The 22,105-nt window shown below is 39.2% G+C and overlaps 1 protein-coding gene and 1 long non-coding RNA gene across 5 annotated transcripts in view, besides 1 other annotated feature; one reads left to right on the forward strand and one right to left on the reverse strand.

The window, feature by feature from the left end:
- The window catches only part of GPC6-AS1 (GPC6 antisense RNA 1), a 33,799-nt gene extending 33,460 nt beyond the window's left edge, over positions 1-339 (reverse strand). Inside the window, exon 1 of the long non-coding RNA NR_046535.1 lies at positions 219-339. This is a non-coding gene — a long non-coding RNA (GPC6 antisense RNA 1). The remainder of the gene's footprint in view (positions 1-218) is intronic.
- GPC6 (glypican 6) overlaps positions 1-22,105 on the forward strand; it is a 1,191,492-nt gene that overhangs the window by 971,124 nt on the left and 198,263 nt on the right. The gene's annotated exons all lie outside the window — the stretch shown is intronic.
- Positions 495-1,410: an enhancer, noted in NCBI's record as "OCT4-NANOG hESC enhancer chr13:94840401-94841316 (GRCh37/hg19 assembly coordinates)". NCBI's record gives its function as "activates a minimal SCP1, AML or CMV promoter by ChIP-STARR-seq in naive and primed H9 embryonic stem cells {active_cell/tissue: H9 hESC(naive and primed)}" and the evidence as "EXISTENCE:reporter gene assay evidence [ECO:0000049][PMID:30033119]".

Genomic DNA, 22,105 nt, shown 5'->3' on the forward strand with positions numbered 1-22,105 from the left:
TTCTAGGTGCTGGAGTTACAACAGTGAACAAATAGGCAAAACCTTTACCCTCATGAGGCTTAGAGTCCAGTGGAAAGGAAAAGACCAAAAATAAGATAAGAAAACTTTATGGAAATATATAAACATACATAGGTATGTCTATATAATACACTGTGATATACCTAGTAAGATATATATAGTTTTGAGAGAAAAACATGGCTAACTTGTTTGTGCCTTACCTTGTCATACAGAATTAGAATATTATCCATACTGAATTCCTGGGCCCAGCCCTGGCCAGTGTCTCTGCCATTTTATGGGGTACATTATCTCTGCTGAGCTAAGTAATTGCTAAATCCACACTGGAGGCTGTGTGAGTAGAGAAGTGACACACCAGTTAACAGGGTGAGAAATTAATGCAAATTAATTCTCCACCCTCCCAGCAGACACTGCTCCCACTTTCTTGCCCTTCTCCATCCCCCTGCCAGTTCACAGAGAAAAGTATGAATATTACAAATGATACTCACTTCATGTCTCAGTGACCTAGAAAGGAGTGTGTGCACTAAGGTGCAGCAGTGCTTTAATGACGCTGAGCCCAAAAGCAAGGCAGTGACACAAAGAGGGGAGTGGTGTCACTGAGAGGAAGGCCCAAGCACTTTCCCCTTCTGCACCTCTTCCCAGGAGACAGGGGTGAGTTAAGGCAGCACAAGGTCACTGGGATTGCCTGAAGCTTGACCACAGGCACGAGTGACTTTCCTCTTGGCTGGTACCATCTGTATAGGGGAATAGAAGATTTTTATCATAACAAAGGATATCTCAATAGAGTCAATTAGCCCAGCATGCCTCAGAGAGTTCTGTGATGTGAGTGGTCACTTCTTTGAACTAAAGTTGAATAAAGAAAAAAAGAAAGTGAAATCATTTCAGTTACAAAGAACCTAGCACTGCATTCTATAAGGTTTTATCATTCAGATTTGGAAGGAGACGGGAGCCATGGTGGATGCCGTGAGGTGTCACCAGATCCCTTTGTGGGACTATATCCATCCCCCACCCTCCAGCTGTTCTGAGGATTGGCTGCTCACCTCTGTCCCCTTCTTTAGGGACCTCTGTATCTGGAGAGGCACTTGCACCACACCCCATCCCATAGCTGGTGACCGATTTGTTATCAGAGCTCCTTCATACTAAAGAAAGAGAGACTGAGACTCAAGCTGCTGAAGAGCTTTCCTCAAAGTCTCACAATCTGGTCAGTCGTCAAAGGAGTCTGTCTGACTCCAAATCCATCCTCTCTCCCCTCAATCGTATAGTTGCTTTATTCTCTTCTAGTGCTGTGGAGAAGCAGCCCCAGTTTGCCACTGAATAATAAGCGTCCCCACCATTTCCTTTCCCCATTGTTGTTATAGGGATTCCTAATATGTGTTGCTAAGGCTTCACCTTATATCACCCAGAAGCTCTAACCTGTGGCTTCCTCAAGAGACATTATCCCTGAAAAACGGGTAGAAATTCAGGAAACTGCTTACTCAATTTCTCAGGTGGTGGCGGATGTTTTCTTCCTTATTCTTTGTTTTCTGCTTGGTAAGTCTGTGTGTAGGTGGTTTAATTGTGCTGAACAGATTCTTTCTCTCCTCTGTACAAAATGGGCTTTGGGGGTGGACAGGAGGAGGAAGAGAAAGATGTGAGTTTCACATAAGAGCAGAGGGATCCTTAGCCTGTCAGCTGAGAAACGAGGACTGTGTATTCCTGAGTAGTGCCTCCTGCCTTTCAAGCCTGGAAAGAGAACAGGAGAGGGAGGCATGCTCCCCACCCTGGGATGTTCCCTTTACTGCTACCACTTATTGCTTTACTGGACATCATAAAGATTGCAAGATGGACGGAATTTATTTGGATAAAAAGCAGTGGATGTTGGGTATAAGTAAATTAGCAACAGGTGATAGATTCTGAACATAGGACACCTCTAGATTGTTATGTCAATCCACACATTCCTTGCAATGTCAAGGAAGGAGTAAATTTTCCAGATAAATTAAACAATTAAAAGAGTATCAAAACTTAAAAAATTCATTCCATTTTGTGGAGATCTTTCCATGATCCAACATCTCTTCTCATTAAAATGTATGCAGAGCCAGGCGCGGTGGCTTACGCCTGTAATCCCCACACTTTGGGAGACCGACGCGGGCAGATCACAAGGTCAGGAGATCAAGACCATCCTGGCTAACATGGTGAAACGCCGTCTCTACTAAAAATACAAAAAATTGGCCAGGCGTGGTGGCGGGCGCCTGTAGTCCCAGCTACTCAGGAGGCTGAGGCAGGAGAATCGCTTGAAACTGGGAGGCGGAGCTTGCAGTGATCCGAGATCACGCCACTGCACCCCAGCCTGGGAGACAGAGCAAGACTCTGTCTCAAAAAAAAAAAAAAGTATGCAGGCCAGGTGCAGTGGCTCACACCTGTAATCCCAACACTTTGGGAGGCCAAGGGGGGCAGATCACCTGAGCCCAGGAGTTCGAGACCAGCCTGGCCATCATGGCCATCCCTGTCTTTACTAAAAATACAAAAATTAGCCAGGCATGGTGGTGGGTGCCTGTAATCCCAGCTACTCAGGAGGCTGAGGCAGAATTGTTTGAACCCGGGAGGCGGAGGTTGCAGTGAACCAAGATCGTGCCATCGCACTCCAGCCAGAGAGCAAGACTCTGAAAAAAAAAAAAAGTATGCAGAAAAAATTTTACTTTTTCCTAGTGAAATGACATCCACATTATGATCATCTCATATGTGTTGCCTACTGAAAATACAGCAGCATTCTCCAGGCTGCTGAGGCATGTGATCTACTGCCTGGCACACCAAATGATCCATCACTTTAGTTGATGACAAAGAAAGACTAAGGAATTGCTCCAGATTGAGGGACACTGAGGACACATGGCAATGAAATGGAATACAGGATCCTAGTCTTCATCCTGGGCTAAAGAAAATGGTTGAAAGGATTTGACTGGGTCAGTTGACAAAGTTGGAATTCAGACAGTAGGTTACGTAAAAGTATTGTATCAATGTTCAATTTACTAAAGTTAATAACTGCAGTATGGGTGTGTAAGAGGTTATCCTTGTTCCTAGGAAATACACCCTGAAGTATTAAGGAGTAAAAGGCCACGATGTGTGTAACTAATTCTCAAATAGTGAGAATTATCTCAAAAGTTATATATGTTAACATATGAGTAGCATATATGAATACATTCTCATATATATACTCTCAAATATTATTCTTCAGTAGTATAAGTGATACATATTAGTATATAAGTGGTACATATTAGTATGTAAGTAGTAATGTGTATACTATCTCACATATATATATAAGAGAGAGAGTGACAGCAAGCAGCAGAAACAAATGAGGCAAAATGTTAACAATAGGTGATTTTGGATAAAGAGTATACAAATGTTTTTGTACCATTCTTATAAATTTCTATGAGTTTTGGATTATTTCCCAAAGAAGGAGACAAAAGAGCTTTCTTTAAGCTGCAACGATGAAGTAACAAGACTGGATTTTACATGTGGCACCTAAGAAGCTCTCTCATTATTTATACATATGTATGATATTGCACCTTCACTGACAGACTTGAACATTTCATAAGAAATGAGTTGATACTAGAAATGCTAGGTGAAGATTGCCCAAGTTAAGGCTGAATATAAATCTTCTTGGTATTCCATGAGATTCTGAGACATTTTATGGGAGTTTTGGCAGCATGGGCTGGCTAAGTGTAGCTCAGGGATTACTGGCTTTAAATGTCTTGAGCCAGTGTCAAGTTTGAGTTGAAGGCATTGGCAAGGTGTGGAATAAATGTGAATGGGGATAGAAGAGGATCTTTGGAGAGCTGAGTCGGTAAGTGTACACTGCACGGCATCAGGACAGTGAGCGATGTCCTTGGAAATGGCCTCTTTTTCCAGTATGTCATCATTTGTACAAAGCTTAGATTAAAGCAGGAAACAAGAAATATCTTAAGCTGGAAAAAAAAAAAAATAATAGTAGAGGCAAGTTTGAAGGAAGTAAAAAAAAAAATTGAGACTTATCTTTCCATTTATATAAATCCAATCCTCCCAGCCCCAGCCTTTCCTGTCTCTTCTATTAATGACTAGGGCAGAGGATCTTCCCATGGGGAGCTCCTTTTCTGAGTTAGAGATGTTCAATTTCATCTCCAAGGGGAACTGGTGAAGGTAACAAATAGAGTGGCTATGGAAAACATTAGAGAGCCAAACCCAGATAATAGCAAAATGATGCTCATATGAACTAAGTTTCCTGGTGTATAGAGAAGAAGCTTGTGTGCTGGATTCATATGAAAAATATCCTCTTATACTTGAAGAGAAGACCTCTCATTAGCACAAAAATGAAACCTATCCTCATATTTCACTCCTACCTTCATCTCTCACAATTCACAATTTTATGATTTTTATTAAAAAAAATAGTTTATAGGAAAATACCCACTTGGTCATCAAATAATTTATCTTCCATAGCATTTACTTACCTCAGCATGCTGCAATATTTTACATAGAGGTTGCTTAAATCCACTGCTGAAATGCAGGCAACTCTGGAAGAAAAAAAAATGTGTTAACAGATAAATGGCTCCCTACTTCATGCTAGTTAATCTTTGCAGCAAATAACAGAACAATCTATAAAGTATAGAAAGATTTTGAGTACTTGGAACTTTACTCTCTGAGCTGGCATTTTGCCACATTGGGGATAAAGCCTCAGGTCTTCCTAAAAGCACCATGGAATCCATAATAGCCCAGAGTGTGTGGCTCCTCATTTTTATATGTCATCAGAAAGATGGAATGCCAAGAGTATGTCTGGGGTCTGGGTTAGTACTAGCTCAAGGGAAAGGGTACCACGTAGTCAATCACTTCCCACATATGCCAGATCTCCCCTAAAGATTAGTCAACGTGCCAGTAAAATATGAGCCTGCATTTCCCATGCTATGAGGAGCTCAAGACAAGCAGACTAAATGTTTGTGATGTTGACATATGTTGGGGTGTTGTGATGTATGTACACTTGTATGCAGAGAAAGAGCCTGCCTTAGCCATTATGAGGTACTAACCAAAACTGCCTCATGGGAAAGGGCAACTGAGAGAATGTGAAGGGCTGGTCAACAGCACAGAGAACATTACTGCGCACCTCAGTTGTGCCCTCTGCTGGGGACTCAGTTTTTATATCAGGCAATGAAGTGGTGGGTGAGCCCCAATTTGGTGGTACAGGTCCCTGGTAGAGACATGTAGACACTAAAGTTCAGTGGGCATCAGTTTGCTGAAACCTGTGTTTATAGACACATGATGGTTTAATGTGAGGTGACCCAGGGAATTTGTTGAAACCAAAAATGAAGCCTTATTTTTGGGGATCAGAACAGTTAGACTAAGAGCTCTATGGGAAAACATTCTAAGAAATACACTTGAAACGGTGAGACTCCTCGTGTGTGTGTGTGTGTGTGTGTGTGTGTGTGTGTGTATTTCCACATATATCTATTTTATCCAACTTCAAAACTATTATGAATTCAGTCTTCTTTGCCACAATTAGAGAGGAAACTGTAATTTGAAAGGTTAGCAGATCTGCTACTGTTTCCTAATAGTTTGTATAGTTTCTAATGACCGGAATGCCACCCAGGAGGCCTTTATAGTGGAGCTATGTCACCATAGGAGCGGTCCAAAGTGAATGTTACTTAATCAGAGTCACCGAAGATGAAAAATGTAGTATTTCCTTTGCAAGCTGGTGAGGCTGTAATTTTCAAATGCCGCTAATGTAATGTGGAGTGGGAGGGGGCCGCCATTCCTGACCTCTGTGTTTTATCCTCTGCTTTGAATGGTTTCGGCAAAAATAAAAATTTCTAAGTGGCACTCATAATAACAGAACTTGAGGCAAAGGGATGCTCTTCGAGTGTGCTGTAGCATATGAAAACAGAACCTGGTGAGCATGCGGCATGCCAGAATACGAAAACAGAACGTGGTGAGCGTGCGACATGCCAGAAGGGTTCGCAGTGTCGCTTGGGGTATAGGAGAAATGCCCGTGTGCAAAATTGCTGTTACCCAGTGGGCTAGCCCGACTACAAAGAAAATCACTGAGATAAAGACATTGAAATGCATATGATCATTGTCGTCATGCAGTGAAAGTTCTTTAAATCTAGACCCCTTATCTCTTTCATGGTTTTCAGCAGCTGACTTTGGCTTTTGTCCACAGTTGAACAGGTCCTCCCTGCTTTTAATAGTGAGGTTGAGCTTTTGGCGGAATTCTAGATGTGGGCTTTCACATTAATTCTGTGTTCTGTAGTTTATCTGCTATGTTTTATGCTGGGGGTAAGTCTGTAATAGCTGCAGTCATTGTGAAGCTTATGATATAGTGGGAAAAACAGATATTGAAGATGAAATGACAAGTATGATTACTTTGATGTATGGGAAATTTAGGGTAAACAGGCATATATAAGGACAGGTTGCTAATCTCATTTGGGGAGTGTTATATATCATTGCAGATACAGTTATATAGATTTAAATATACTTGTAGCATATGTACAGTATATGTATACTCATACATGTACATATTTATTTATTAAAGTTGCCTGATTTAGCCAATAAAAGTATAGGATATATAGTTAAATTTGAATTTCAGATAAACTAGAAGTTTTTGGGGATAGGTATGTGCCATACAATATCTGGACATAATTACAATGTGGAGAGTGGTGTTTATCTGAAATTCAAATTTAACAGAGTGTCCTGCATTTTTTTCTGGCAACTCCAATGTATGCATATGTGTGTATGTCTGTGTGTTTTTGCATATGTGTCTGTATGTGTGTGTTAATGGCATTCACAGCAATCTAGATGGGATTGTAGACTATTATTCTAAGTGAAGTAACTCAGGAATGGAAAACCAAACATTGTATGTTCTCACTCATAAGTGGGGGCTAAGCTATGAGGATGCAAAGGCATAAGAATGATACAGTGGACTTTGGAGACTCGGAGGGAAAGGGTGGGAAGGTGGCGAGGGATAAAAAACAACAAATTGTATTTATTGTATACTGCTGGGGTGATGTGTGCATCAAAATCTCACAAATCACCACTAAAGAACTTAGTCATGTAACCAAATATGACCTGTTCCCCAAAAACTTATGAAAATAAAAATTTTAAAGATGAAAAAAAGAATACTTTAACTGAACCATTGAGGACCAGAGATGCTTGTAGTTCTGAAACTCTATACAGAAGCATGTGTTGTGTATCTGTGTATGTGTGTGTGTGTTTGTGTGTGTGTATCTGTAGATGAGTATATTTATATGAGTATGTATTTATGTGTGTATATGTACCCTTCCCACACACACACACATAACCAAGGGCAAATCTAAGAGGAGTATGAGAAGTATTATAGAAAGAAGTATCTAGAAACAAGGCCTTTGGAACTGAGCACTGAAGTTTTATTCTTTTCAAAATAAGAAGCCTGTTTTCCTACCTTCTTTGTGACTGCTCTTCTATTTAAGTCTCTTTTGAACAGAGAGTGGTAAGTACTGGTGTCCCCATGTCCAGTTACAAGCACCTGATCTGCAGATGTCAAAGAAGTTAAAGCCTCCCTGGTCTCTCTCCTTTGCTTCCTTCCCTGTTCTTCCAGCAGTTTCTTCCTAGTTAGGGCTTGTATAAGACCTTTCCCCTTAACCAACCCCAGTAAGAAGCCATTGTGGGCATGGAAATTGGTTTGAAATTCCAAGGACATCACTTGGATTATAAGAATACTTCAGTGCAACCATTGAGGACCAGAGATGCTTGCAGTCCTGAAACTCCATACAAAAGCATGTATTATGGTTTTAAATAATAAAATCGATTGTTTCAAATCATGTGCCATATCTAAACAGTTGATTTTCCTTACATAGGAGTCAGCTTGTACATGCATGTTCACATTATTATTCTCGCTGACTTTGGGATTGTTCCTTAACTCACAAATCCTCTGCTTCCTCATTCATAAAACAGAGTTGCTAAAGTTTCTGCCCCATAGGACTGTCATGAGGATTAAATGAGATAATGCAAATAAAGAACTCAGTGCAATACCTGGAAGATGTAGTAAGAGCTATGAGACTTAGGGGTGTGCAAATGTGGCTCCTGCCACACAGCCTCTAATGCATCAGCCACCATCTCAGAAGTCAATTCAGACATTTCTCACGTGTTCTGAGAAACATGGGGAAGAGCCCATACCAAGGTACTCACATAAAGACTGTAGTTTACGGGTGACTAAGGTTCAGCTTTGGAAGACCAAGGGGAACCCACAGTACCATAGTTAAAAGAAGACTCAGCAGGAATAAGTGTGGGCTTTCCTGAGATATGGCCCAAAGCCAAAACCACTGCATGCTCAGAATGTTTGCTCAGTGTGCTGGGAGCATCTTGGGGCTATGAGAACAAATTTCTCTTTGATAATGACATATTAAAATAGACATCCCTCAATGTTCTTTGTAGTCAAAAGATAGATGGCCTTTGAGACACTTGTCACTAGTGAAATAGATTTTGTCATTATCAGAGGAAGCCGGGCCATACTGCATACCACAATTAACTTGAATAACCTTTTCAGTTTTTTTTTTTTTTCTTAATTAGGGTTTACAGCACAAGAATATCTCTTATAAGAGGGAGGATTTTTTTTAACTAAGAAATTTTTTAAAATTTTTTATTTTGGCTGCAAAAAAATCAAGCTGTACATTTGTGTTTTCAAAGCCATCCTCCTTTTGAAAACCACAAAGCCAAGCGCATGCTATATAAAGATGTTATATTGTAGCTGAACTTCATGTTAACTGTCATTAATCTGTGACTTCCAAGCAAGAAACTAAAGTTTTTAAAGGGTCTTCAAGTGAAGTATGTCCAAAAGTAACAACAGAAAATATCATTTTAAGATGCCGGGTGGTTTCAGACTCTCAACACTGACCTTTTACCTTCAAGGCTGTGTCTTGCATTACATCCACTTCTCCTTAAGGCTACAGTAAACCTGTCAAGTCAGATTGCTGTTTGAGTTGAAACTAACAGGAACAAGCGGAAGAGTTTTACCCAAGTGATTAGTGGATTTCAGACTGCTTGTCAAAACCACTTGGTGTTACGAGAGTTGGCATAACCCCATAAGGCGTTTCTTAAACATGCCTTTATTTGGTTCATTTTCAATTTCTTCCCATAACTGCCACACAACCATATTTGACGGAAAAGGAACTTCAATTTCATGTTTGGAACTTTAACCTCAATTAAATGCAAAGTAGGAAATGCAAAATATTTTTAAAAGAGACACTTATATTGGCTGTTATATTGGCTAATTTGTTTCTGGATTTAGTCAGATGCATGGTAATATGTCCTATCAATGATGGAATAAATATCTCTGCTGGAATAAATATATTTGTTGGCTTCTACCATTCTATAACAAATGATGTCAAAATGTGGGTTTTTTTTAACACATTGATACCATTCTCTTTGGGCCTCATGTATGAATCTACAGGGAGAAAGGAAATTACTAAGGCTGCTAGGACTGTAGGGAAGATGGAATGGGGTGAAAGAATAGAGAGATTTGGGGCCAGTTCCATGGAATACTGTCATCTCTGAGAAACTCTACAGTATTGAGAAAATCCCCCCTCATCTGTAAATTTGCTAGGGCTCCTCCACACACCCAGACCTTAGTCAAAAGCTGCATACTTTAACATAACCTCCACTCCCTGCCAAGCATCATCAAGTTCTCACCTTTAAGAAGGGGAGCTATAACGGTATTAGCCTGCTAGGGCTGCTATAACAAAATACCACAAACTGGGTGTCTTAAACAACAGACATTTATTATAATTCTAGAGACCAGAAGTCCAAGATCAAGGTTCTGGCCAATTCAGTTTCTGGGAAGGGTTCTCCACCTGACTTGCAAACAGCAGTCTTCTCTCTGTGTCCTCACGTGGCAGAGAGAGAGTGAGCTCTCTGGTGTCTCTTCTTATAACAGTGCCAGCTCTATTGAATTAGGAACCCACCCTTATGATCTCATATAACTTTAATTGCCTCCCTGAAGGCCCTATCTCCAAATACAGTCAGATTGAGGATTAGAGCTTCAACATGTGCCTCTTTAGGGGGATACAATTCAGCCCGTAACAATAACTAAGAACAAAAGATAGTATCTGTATTTTGGCAACTTACTATTATGCATCTAGTCTGTAAATGTTTTTCTGTCACCCACAACAAATATACATTTAGCATCAAAATAATGAATAAACAATTTTACCAAGAAACGTAACACTTTAGCAGTGTTAAAAAAAGCTCTATGCCCTGAAGGCCAAATATTTGTAGCTAATGTTTAGCATGTTAAATGTTGACTTGTTTTTAGAATGTTGCTTTTTATGCAGATGTCTTTGCAAGAAAAATAATGTTTTGATTTTAATTGTACCCTATAAAATACTAACCATTGTTATATAGCATGACATGTAGCACTGATCAAATTATATTTCCCACTGATCAAATTATATTTCCCAAAACATAATAAATACAAACAGGTGTTTCAGCTGTTAAGTACTTTTTTTTCTGTTGCCATAATTACAAAGAAATTTCATCCTAGATCTAACAGCTTAGACTCACAACCTATAAGATGGTGGTCACAGGTTGTATATAATGAAAAGGTAATAAAGACACAGGTGAAAGTCCTAATGCAGGTAATGGATTGAAAAGCAGATAAAAGCTCTAATTCAGCCTCTCTGAGCCTTAGTTTTTCTTTTTATGAATAAGTAACTTGGGCTAGGTGATCTTTTAGGACCATTACAGGAATAACCATTCTCTCATCCTAAGAAACGAACTAGGAAGATGATTTGGTAAAATTAGCAAACAGATCTCACTTGGAAAAAAGTAATGAAAATAAGGTCAAATTTCAAGTTATATTAGTGGGAAACAGTCTTCGGATTGTAAGATTATGAACCAGCCTCCCACATGAAATAATATAAGCTGGATTTTAGAAGATATTTTAGATGAAACAAAATCTCAGGCTGTGTCCGTTCTGCCACATGAAATAAACTTGGTGACCCCATCCAGCCTTTTTCCATCTCTGATTGCAATGCATCTGTAATTGAAAAATGTCTTTAGGGAAGTGTACTGTTGAACAGCCTTCTGCCTGAACAACATCATCCTAACACACATCTCATAAGAGATTTCACTGCTCTGACAAGTTACACATCCTAAGTGAAAAACCACAGTGATATTGTTGCTGTTTGCTCAACCCCCTGCCGGAGCTGGGATTCACACCCTGAAGCTGTATTTCATGAGTGAATTCAGATTAAATCTTTGTTCTCTTTCCATCGTATGGCACAGCTGCCTTAAAATTCACCACCACCGACAGACAGAGGACTTCCTCGAGATAATGACCCACAGGAAATTTCTTTCATGAATCAGACAAGCCAGTAGAACCAATCCACCATGGAGAGTTTAGGGCAATGGCATGCCAGGTTGGCATTATAATCTCATTTGCCACATGCTTGTTGAAAAGCCTTTGTGCTGGAAGCTACATTAGACATTTGGGAAGGAGTACCACATTATGCACTTCATCCCGTGTTTGTGAAGAACTTTACTAGGCCTAATATCCTAGCTAAAATCTGCCTTATCTTTCCTTCACGACAGAGAGAAAAGATGGGAAAGTCAAAATATAAATATATTGCTGAGTCATTGACTCTTTTTATTAGTTAATTTGCTAAATTGACCTTGACTCAGCTTCTCTGGATTAGGGTTAAAATGCCTTGTCATCATTTTTGGATCTCTACATCCTGGAATTGTATGGCAGAATGAAAAGAGGTAGACTAGCCTGCATAACCAGCTGCTTGCACCTCCCCATCTTTAGTCACACAATTCCTATGAGCTTCAGTTTCCTCATCTGTAAATTTGGAACAATAACATTCACTCCACGGAGTGATGATGAGGTTTCTGGTGGGCAAGGTAACACAGTGCTTTGGCTTGCATCCTTCTCTACCACTTGTTAACTGGGACACTCTGCTGTGTTTCCTTATCTGTCAAACAGGGATGACTTTTTTAAAGCAGTTCTTTTTCATAGAGTTGTTTGAGGATTAAATGGGTAGACAATATATGTGAAGTATTCTGAACAGTGCTTGGTTCATGGCAAGCCCTCAATAAATGCTACCTCTTATTGGTTGATAGAATGCACCTGTGCTCAATTAATGTTCCCTTCCTCTCCCCTTTTTCTCCTTCATTTGCCCTCCTTGACCACACACAGAAACTGGAAGGCAGAGTTTCTCGTGTGTTAAAAATATTCCAGGTCAGGCGTGGTGGCTTACACCTGTAATCCCAGTACTTTGGGAGGCCAGGGCAGGTGGCTCACCTGAGGTCAGGAGTTCCAGACCACCCTGACCAATATGGTGAAACCCTGTCTTTACTGAACATACAAATTTAGCTGGGTGTGGTGGTGCATGCCTGTAATCCCAGTTACTTGAGAGGCTGAGGCAGGAGAATCACTTGAACCCTGGAGGCAGAGGTTACAGTGAGCTGAGATTGCACCATTACACTCCAGCCTGGGCAACAAGAGCAAAACTCTGTCTAAAAAAAAAAAAAAAAACCACATGTTTCCAGGATCCTTACTTTGAACATTCTTCAGGAATTGCTCTCTGGAAACTTCAAAGTCATGGAGAGCTAAAGCGTTGGAAAAGAATTTCTAAAATAATATGCTGGCTAACTTCAAGGTATTTTAGGTCTATCTCTAACACCAGCCAAGTGACTGGCATTTGTAAGGTGTGGGTCCTGTATAGAGCACATGAGGATATGTAACAAAGAATTATTTTCAAATCTGTTAGCAACTCAGAGTTCATGCCCTATTGCCAATGGCTGTGGAGCTTCATTTTCAACATATGCAGGACAGTAAATCTGCATATTATAGAGGAGACTGTGTTGGAAGAAGAGGCTTGGAATGGTAGTCTATCTTCTTTGTATTCAGTTCAACTAGCTGAAGTCTATTTTAATGGTGTCTCTATTCAAATAAAAGTGTGATGGTGGAGAAAAGAGAGGCTAAGCAACATGGCAGGAATAAAAAAAGACTTTAGGGACATGATAGTTTGCATGGTTGGAGAAAAATTAACTCAATAGATGTTTGAGTTGGCAGATTTGCTAATGTCCTACAGCATTCTTTGTATAGGTGTAGGAGATTATTTGCATTGCTTGGAATTGAAGACTAACAAAGTTGAAATGCTTTTTGAGGTATTATTGTGTCAGTGACAAATGCCAAAATTAGTGGCCACACTGGGTTTGAACCACATGGTGGTGATGTCAGAGGAGAGCGGAGTCCAAGTGGGATGACCAGGGCTTCAATAAAGCCTGGGGTCCCAGTAATGCCAGGAAACAGGCAGCGCAAAAGGCAGAAGCACTTGGCAGTTGACTGATTCTGTTGCAGGACCTAACAAAGTGATTAACATCAAGTAAATGAAGATGCTCCTTGGAAAACTGTAACATTATCAAGGCTGTCAGGGAGGCTGCATGAAGTTAGCACACTGAAACGTGCCCCTCCTGGTTCACTTCCTCAGACAGAATGTTCTGGCTTTGGGTTTTGCTATCAGATGTGATTTGATCTCCAGGCCTCTCACAGGGACAGAGATATCAAGAAGTCAGGGGGTCTGACAGTGATGCATTAGGCAATAGGATGCTGAGGCTGATTATGATGCAGGTGACAGAAATGAATCACCTCCTGAATATGCTGACATTGGCGCTGCGGGAGGAGACAGAGCCAGCGCTCTTGTGATGTCAATAACGAAAAACAGGAAGACAACTCTGCCTGGAACCGTATGTGCCTGAAACTGGGATGCTTAATGTTAGAGGTAACTTGACGATCCAGGCCACTATTATACAGAAAACAAAACACACACCAAAAAATATATATATCTTAACACCTTTGGGGAATACTATTTATGTATTGCCTCTTCTTTTTCACTTTTCCGATCTTATGAGGTATAAATTATGATAAAATTAACAAATATATGTCATGATCACCTAAATACTTGCATTTGGAAGCATATAATAAGCATCAGCTGATCAATAAAATCATCATTAAGATGTCTACATAGCGGCCGGGCATGGTGGCTTACACCTGTAATCCCAGCACTTTTGGAGGTGAAGGCAGGCCGATCACAAGGTCAGGAGTTTGAGACCAGCCTGGCCAATATGGTGAAACCCCATCTCTACTAAAAATACAAAAATTAGCTGGGCGTGGTGGCGGGTGCCTGTAGTCCCAGCTACTCAGGAGGCTGAGGCAGAAGAATCGCTTGAACCTGGGAGGTGGAGGTTGCAGTGAGCCGAGATTGTGCCACTGCGCTCCAGCCTGGGCAACAGAGTGAGTCTCCATCTCAAAAAATAAAAAAAAGATGCCTACATGGCAAATGCTAAATAGGAGAAAAACCTTGATAATTCTCTGAATACTGGGTTCTGAAATGGTAATAGTTTTCTCACTCCCCTGGCATTTATGTATTGCCATGTAGCTCTAGTTTTCTTCAAATGAATTAATGTCCTATCTTTACTCCTCAAATGGATCATAAATTCCTGCAAAACAGGGGCCATTCTAACTTAAAATCCTTTGTAAATTCTCAGTGTTTCCAGCCCACAGTCCTTTGCATGTTTTAGCATATCAAGAACTAAATGAAATCATATTGATATATTTCACTAAATAAAAAGATGTGTAAGTTCTCTAAGATGCTTGTGGTACTCTGTTCTCATGCTGCTGATAAAGACATACCTGAGACTGGGTTATTTATAAAGAAAAAGAGGTTTAATGGACTCACAGTTCCACACGGCTGGGGAAGTCTCACAAACATGGTGAAAGGCAAAAGGCATGTCCTACATGGTGGCAGACAAGAAAGAATGAGAGCCAAGTGAAAAGGGAAACGCCTTATAAAACCATCAGATCTCGTGAGACTTATTCACTACCAAGAGAACAGTATGGGGGAAACAGCCCCCATGATTCAATTATCTCCCACCGGGTCCCTCCCACAACATGTGGCGATTATGGGAGCTACAATTCAAGATGAGATTGGGTGGAGACACAGCTGAACCATATCAGTGCAAGAAAAAGTATGGGTTGTTTAGATAAGGTAATGCTAGAACCTTGAGAAATGTTTGATGTCAGTAACTGGGGAAGTGGGTTAGGTGATGGAGACATCTGTTCAGAATGGCCCCTCAGAGGGATGGGATGGTATTTACGAAGGTGAAGTCAGCAGAGCCCGGGAGTAGGTGAGGAGGAGCCTGGTAAGGCCAAAAGTGTGAGGCCCCTTCGAAGGCCCTAAGAACATGGTTCATTTTCTAGTGCAATAGGAAATCAAACTAGAACTCTCCATGAAAGGTAGAAAATTTAATCCTGTTTTCAACACCTCTGGGCTGATAGCATTAGAGAAAAATCACCAGATTCCTTGATCAGATTATTCTTTTTGAGCAATTGTAATTTCAAATGCCCCAAAAGTGATAGATTAAAAAGGTTTTATAGTTTTATAAATATGACTCACTTATGTTTTATTATTATTTCACTTATAGTGAGTCTTATATTTAGTGAGTCTTATATTTATAAAACTATAAAACCTTTTTAATCTATCACTTTTGGGGCATTTGAAATTACAATTGCTCAAAGTAGGGCCTATATTTATAGAACTAGAATTTGTATTGTTACCTTTAAAAAAAAATACTGACCCAGGTTTTACTAGATTATATGTATCCTGTAAAATCAAAGAAAATAACCATGAAAATTCCAAAGAAAAACTTATATATATAATTATTGTGAGTAGAATCACTGAACGAATACATTTATATTGGTTCTGGAAAGCAATGAGAAGCTTTACACAATTACATTATCTCAAATTATAACTTTCTGTTGTTTTTCAGAGTTTGTAAAAAATAAATGATGTGTCATATTTAATCTTCTTTGTCCTTAGATTCACCATAATAAATATTAAGGTAGTGCATTTATTATAGGGCTTTTCACTTGAAAGACAATACCCATTAATTTTAAACCTTATGTTGGCAGTCCCTCCAACACAGTATTAGAATACTTCTGTCTCTATTCTACATTATGTTTATTGGGACTGGGGAGGCTAACATCACAATTACTTTCAATCTCAGGAATCAGATTCTTCTTTACTTCGAAAATTCTCAACTACTATTAAATCTGTACGTTTCTTCTCTGCTATCTTCTCCATTGTTTCTTCTGGGAATTCTATCAAATACATGTTGGAGCCTCCCAATCCTTACTGCATGTCTGATAACTATTCTTTCATATTTTCTGTTGCTTCATCTCTATGGCTTTTTATTTTTCTTGTATTATAGTTTTTCTGTCACTGGTGTATCTGGAACCAGAGATGGGATGAATTCACTCAGTCATTTTCACCAAAAGTCTCAGCAAAACTACTATATGTTTACCTACTTTATTGTTTAAACATATAACTTTGAAGGAATATCCAATAAATTTACACTTCCCAAGGCACTGAAGAAAATCATTGCTTTGGGTTTTTATTTCTCCTTTTCTAGAAAGGGATAGATTTAAACAACATCTCAAATAAAAAAAGAGGACAAAGAGTCAAAAAGCAACTTCAAATCCTTCTATATACAAAATTCCAGCTTTCTGTAATACATAAATACTTTAAGCTGATAAACAAAAAGGGTAGCTACTCAGTTTAAACCAAAAACAAGTGTGGATAAAAATGTACCTAATCCTCCAGAGAATCAGGGCAGTGCCTAAGAATTATGTGCATTCCACACAATGGGAAATGAATATATTTTCCACATTTTAGAGCTTTAAGATGTGACTGCTTTAGTATGCCAGCCAACGCCTACAAAAGTGTGACAACAAAATACATAAATCAATAAACCATTCCTCTATATACCACATACTTAATCCATTTTGAAGTGGGAGTATTTCACTGTAATAAAAATACGGAGGTATTTTCTTCAATCACTATTCTAATTAGTTCAGGCTTACCTTCTTTTATGGCTCTGTGAAATATCACCAACACATACAATAGTTATGGAAACAATACATCCCATAGATTTGAACTTATAAAAGCCTTGCATGTGAAATTTGTTTCTCAGACAAATGTGAAATTCAGTACCTTTACTGGTTGCACTACATGAGCAGGTTGGAAAAGAAGGTTTTAAAATTCTGTCACTAGAATTAATCATATTCCAATTTTGTATCCTTCACTTCTATAAGCAACCGTATAGAACTCAGTCAGCCTTGTTCAGCATTATATTTTCAATGTGTATATTCAATGAATCTTTCTTTAATAAACATTTATCTCTTAGAAAACACTTTTCTCAATGTATGAGCCACAACATAACTTAATAAACTAAGAACACAAAAGGTATAAATTAAAAATTCAAACCTGACATAGTTTAAATTCAATATTCTTAACCCTGGATCAATCAAATAATAATCTTTTTCATGATAAGAATGAATATTTGGTGACCACAAATAATAGGAAGACATATGTAATGTGATATAAAAACATTTTATCGTGTGCCAAAAGCATCTGTTGCCTGTAAAAATATGTGCTTCCTTGATGCTTATCTGCATTTGGTTTATTCTTTTGAGCTTCTATTTGGTTCTCTAATTTTACCTACACCGTTTCTTAGTCACTGCTAATCAGATTCCAACAAACAGGAGTACAGAAAAATCAAGGGACTTAAGGTTGCACTTGAGGTCTCCAGGCATGTGTCTTTGTATTTGTGAACATCTAGCCCATCTTATTATAGCAAATCTCAAATGGTCATTACGTTTCTTGTGTATTTTTGCAGCCAGTATTGACAGGAGTCAACTTAGAGTTTGTCTGTTTATTTGATGTTTATCTTGTTTAAGAAAATAAGAAGCAAAAACACCAAGAGGCCTATTTGTTAGGGAAGCTTTCCTCTACCAGGTTAGAGCAGGTGAAGGATCCTAGAAAAATTTCCAAGCCTCTTTTATTTCTCTCCTCACCAAAGCACAACTAGAGCAGCTTGGGAAAGTTTATGTCCTGCCTTGCAAAGCAGAGATGTACCTGAACAAATTTCAATCTATTCCACCAGGAGTTTGTGATTGTTCTTTCAGATGGCATCTTCTAAGTCTCATCTTAAGTTTGCCATTTAGCTCTCCATGCTTTGTGACTTCATTTTCTTTTTTGAGAGCAGGGAGAATACGTTCACTTTTCTTTCATTAAAGAGTATTTCAACTGTAAATGATAAATGGCTTTCAGGATCCTGAATATAAAGAGCTATATGAAAACACGGCTAAACTAAACCATGAGTTATCTGGAACACTGGTTTTCAACTGGGACTGATTTTGCCCATCAGAGACGTTTGGCAGTGCCTGGAGACATTACTGATCCTCACATTTGTGTGTAGGGTGCTGCTGGCATCTAGTTGGTAGGGGCCAAACATGCTACAAAACCTCCAAAGCAAAGGACAGAGCAGACAAAGATTCATCAGGCCCCAAATTTCGATAGGGCTGAGGTTGAGAAACCCTGACCTAGAGTTTGTCAAGAACATTTCACAATCCAAATCTTAATCCTTCTTAAGCTCCCTGGAAATTTATATTTATAAAATAATGGGAAACTGAATCATACAAATAGAAAAGCTCGATCAGGAAAATGGTGCTTGGAAATGCTTTTCTATGAGAAGAAATAGATGAGAAGTGAATGAGAATATTCTATTCTTTTGTTGTTCTTGTTTGTGTCTCTTTTTTCTTTCTCATTCTCTCTGTGTCTCTCTAGTGGATGCTATGAAAAATGTGTCCCACATTCACACTACATGCTGCAGACCACATTATTTAATAACGGGAGTCTCAGCAGCCGTCTTCAGTAGTGTTCGTTTAATTTTCTATTAAGATTAGCATATTACTTATGGAGGGGTTTTTTTTGGTATTATATTTCATGATGCTTTGACACGTTGAGGCCTTGCTAATCCTGGAGAGACTACCTCTCCCACGGCTAGCTAATTCCTAAAAATAGCAAATAAGAGCCAGGCACGGCAGCTCACACCTGTAATCCTAGTGTGTTGGGAGGCTGAGGCGAGCAGATCGCTTGAGTCCAGGAGTTTGAGACCAGCCTGGGCAACATGGAGAGAGCCCATCTCTACAAAACATAGAAATATTAGCTGGGTGTAGTGGAATGCACCTGTAGTCCAGCTACTCAGCAGGCTGTGGTGGGAGGATCACTTGAGCCCAGAAGGCAGAGGTTGCAATGAGCTGAGATCGCGCCACTGCATTCCAACCTGGGTGACAGCGTGAGACCCTGTTTCAAAAAAGAAAATAAAAAACAAGATAGTAAACAATTTGCCTGTGTATTTGCCTTTCGTATGCAAACCAACCAGTCCAGAAACCATACTTCCAGTCACCCCCTTTATCTAACTCTCACCAAGCCAGTATTTCTTTACCCTAAATCATCTCATGACCAAGTAACAGATGACTAGAGACACCGCTAGAACCCACTGAAGTTACTCAAATTACCCAACCTTAAGCTTGCTCACTGAACTTACCCTATCTTGTCCATTCTTCCCCAGAAAACCACAATACAGGCTTTTCCAGGCTTTTTCCTTGTCTTTCCTGCCTCCCTGAGAGCCCTGGTGCTTACCCATGTGGCCCTGTCTGAGATACCTGTTCCTAGAGATCTGTGCTCCTTCCTTCATGGCATTCACGTCCATGTCTGCATGCATTACTATACCGCACTAAGACAAATCCTGGGTACATTTAAAAACAATTAGCAACCTTGGGGATTAAAATGAAAGCAAATCTTAACAAACCCATATTTCCGATCTTCCCACTAGCCCTCTGAAGTAAATGTAATCGTTCCCATTTTACAAGGAAGAAACTGAGGTTCATAGGCTGTTAAGTGTCTTGTCCTGAGGTATATGGCTGGTAAATGATTCCAACTTATATCTGTTAAACTCCAAGATACAGTCACTTCTATGAAGTGGACTATGACAAGTGGCATTTGGCTTGCTCACAAGGCAATAGATATCATCTCCAAAGAATAGAATGTATGTGCTCCTTAATTAATGCTTCTTTAATTTTCTAGAATGAATACTCTTTTTTTCCCCCTTAGGTGATGACCATCAGCAGAACTTAGTTACAGAGTAACTGATGTGGGAATATACATGATTGTGGGGAAGGAGCACAGGGCTGGGAATCTGGTGGTTTGGGTTGGAGTTCCAGCTTCCCTGCTGACCAATTACATATCCCTGGGCAAACTGTTGTTCTCTTAGGGGCTTCAACTTGCTCTTCTGTAAGCAGAAAGCCTGAATTATGTTGGTGCAAAAGTAATTGCGATTTACTTTTGCACCAACCTTACATTATTTTTGCACCAACTTCACATTATTTTTACAATTTATTATTTGAACGATCCCATTTGAGATAAATTACCAGCACCTCTGAGACCCAAAGTGTTGTAGAGAACGTAAAATTTATGACATGTCTCTCCAATCCATAGAGATTAGTAGTTTTTACATACTGGTTCATTTTTCTGGCATTACTAGGAGGACATTCATTGTAGGTTGCATTCATTTATTCAATAAGCATTTATTGAGGAACTGCTTGGTGCCAGTTAATTGGTGTGAAAAAGACATCATTCTTGCGTATACAAATAATTTCAAATATTTCTGCAAAAGGCTCTAACAAACATTTTTACAAAGTGTGTTTTTGGGTAAAGCACCTAGTGGCTTAAAACCTCAGGTTCTTCATGTCTGAAGTGGGCGTAAGTGCCTATTTCAGAGTGTTGTTGACAACTAAATAAGACAAAGCATATAAAGCAGTTAGTGTATCAGTAAGCACTCCATAATGTTAGCCCTTATTATAGTTTTCAGAAGGAGGAACAGCTGGCTGCCAAGATTAGTTATGGAAAACTTTTGGAAGGAGATGATATTTGATGTACGTCTTTAAAAAAATAAATAGAAATTCAAGGTGAAAAAGAAGGGAGAAAGAACTCCATGCAGGGAGGCCAGCGTGCACAGAGCACTGAGAGGTGGCTGTTTAGAAACCAAAGTGCAGGGATTTGTCCTTTTTGTTCTTTCTCCTTTTCCTTTTGCTTTAGCGCTAGACACAGGGGCTCCCACCTGTAATCCCAACATGATGGTGGGAGGCCAAGGCAGGAGGATCACTTGAGTTTGAGACAAATGTGGGCAGCAAAGCAAGACTCCCATCTCCCAAAAAAAAAAAAAAAAAAAAAAAAAACAAGCTGGGCCTGGTGATGCTCCCAGCTACTCGAGACGCTGAAGCGGGAGGATCCCTGGATCGCTTGAGCCCAGGAGCTCAAGGCTGCTGTGAGCTATGATCGTGCTACTGCACTCCAGCCTGGGAGATGGAGCAAGACCCTATCTCTAAAAAAACAAACAAACAGACAAAAAACTATTTTTTATTGCTTAATATTTTATTAAGATAACATCATAATTGATATATAATATATATTCATTACATGTATTATTTGTATTTAATTTGTCTATTATGTTTAAAGTTGTAGAATAGGTATGTGTAATATTTTATTAATATTTCCCCTTTCCCATCTGCACAACACTTGTCAAATATCCCAAGATAAATGAATTTCTTTAGGATTCCCTGGCCTCTGCAGACAGTGATTTTCTTAATCTCATTTTTTCTCAAGAAGGAAGAAAAGGCAATAATGTGACTCATGTTGTTTGTTCCCTTCCAGGGCTGTATTCTCCAGTCTTGTGGCTGCCTCTAGTACTTGGTTTGGTTGTTAGAGTGAGCATTATTTAGGCATGGTTTGTAATGGTTCCCTGGAGCTATTTGTGGAAGAGCTTATGTAATAAAATACATAATTATGAACTTGTTAAAAGAGACATTATTTACTCATTTGTCCAACATGGCTCCTTTCAGTCTACCTCATAAGTAAATCTATATTTAGTCAGTGTCATATTGATCTGCAACCAGAGTACACTTTAATGCTCCTGCAGAAATACGCCATAAAAAAAATAGCTTGATAAGAAAAATTCACTGCGGGTCTCATCTCATTTGAAAACGGCAGAAGAAGAAAAATTATACTTTCTTTTCCATTGTTTTCCCTTTTTTTAAGACAATACCAGAAAAATGAACTGTAATACACAGTTCTGATAATATCACTGTAGAGAATCTCTTTATAAATGTCATGCATTTTATGAAATTTAGTGTTAGAAAATAAATGACTAAAGATTA

The sequence above is a fragment of the Homo sapiens genome, chromosome 13 (assembly GCF_000001405.40).
Source record: "Homo sapiens chromosome 13, GRCh38.p14 Primary Assembly".
Taxonomy (NCBI): Eukaryota; Metazoa; Chordata; class Mammalia; order Primates; family Hominidae; genus Homo; species Homo sapiens.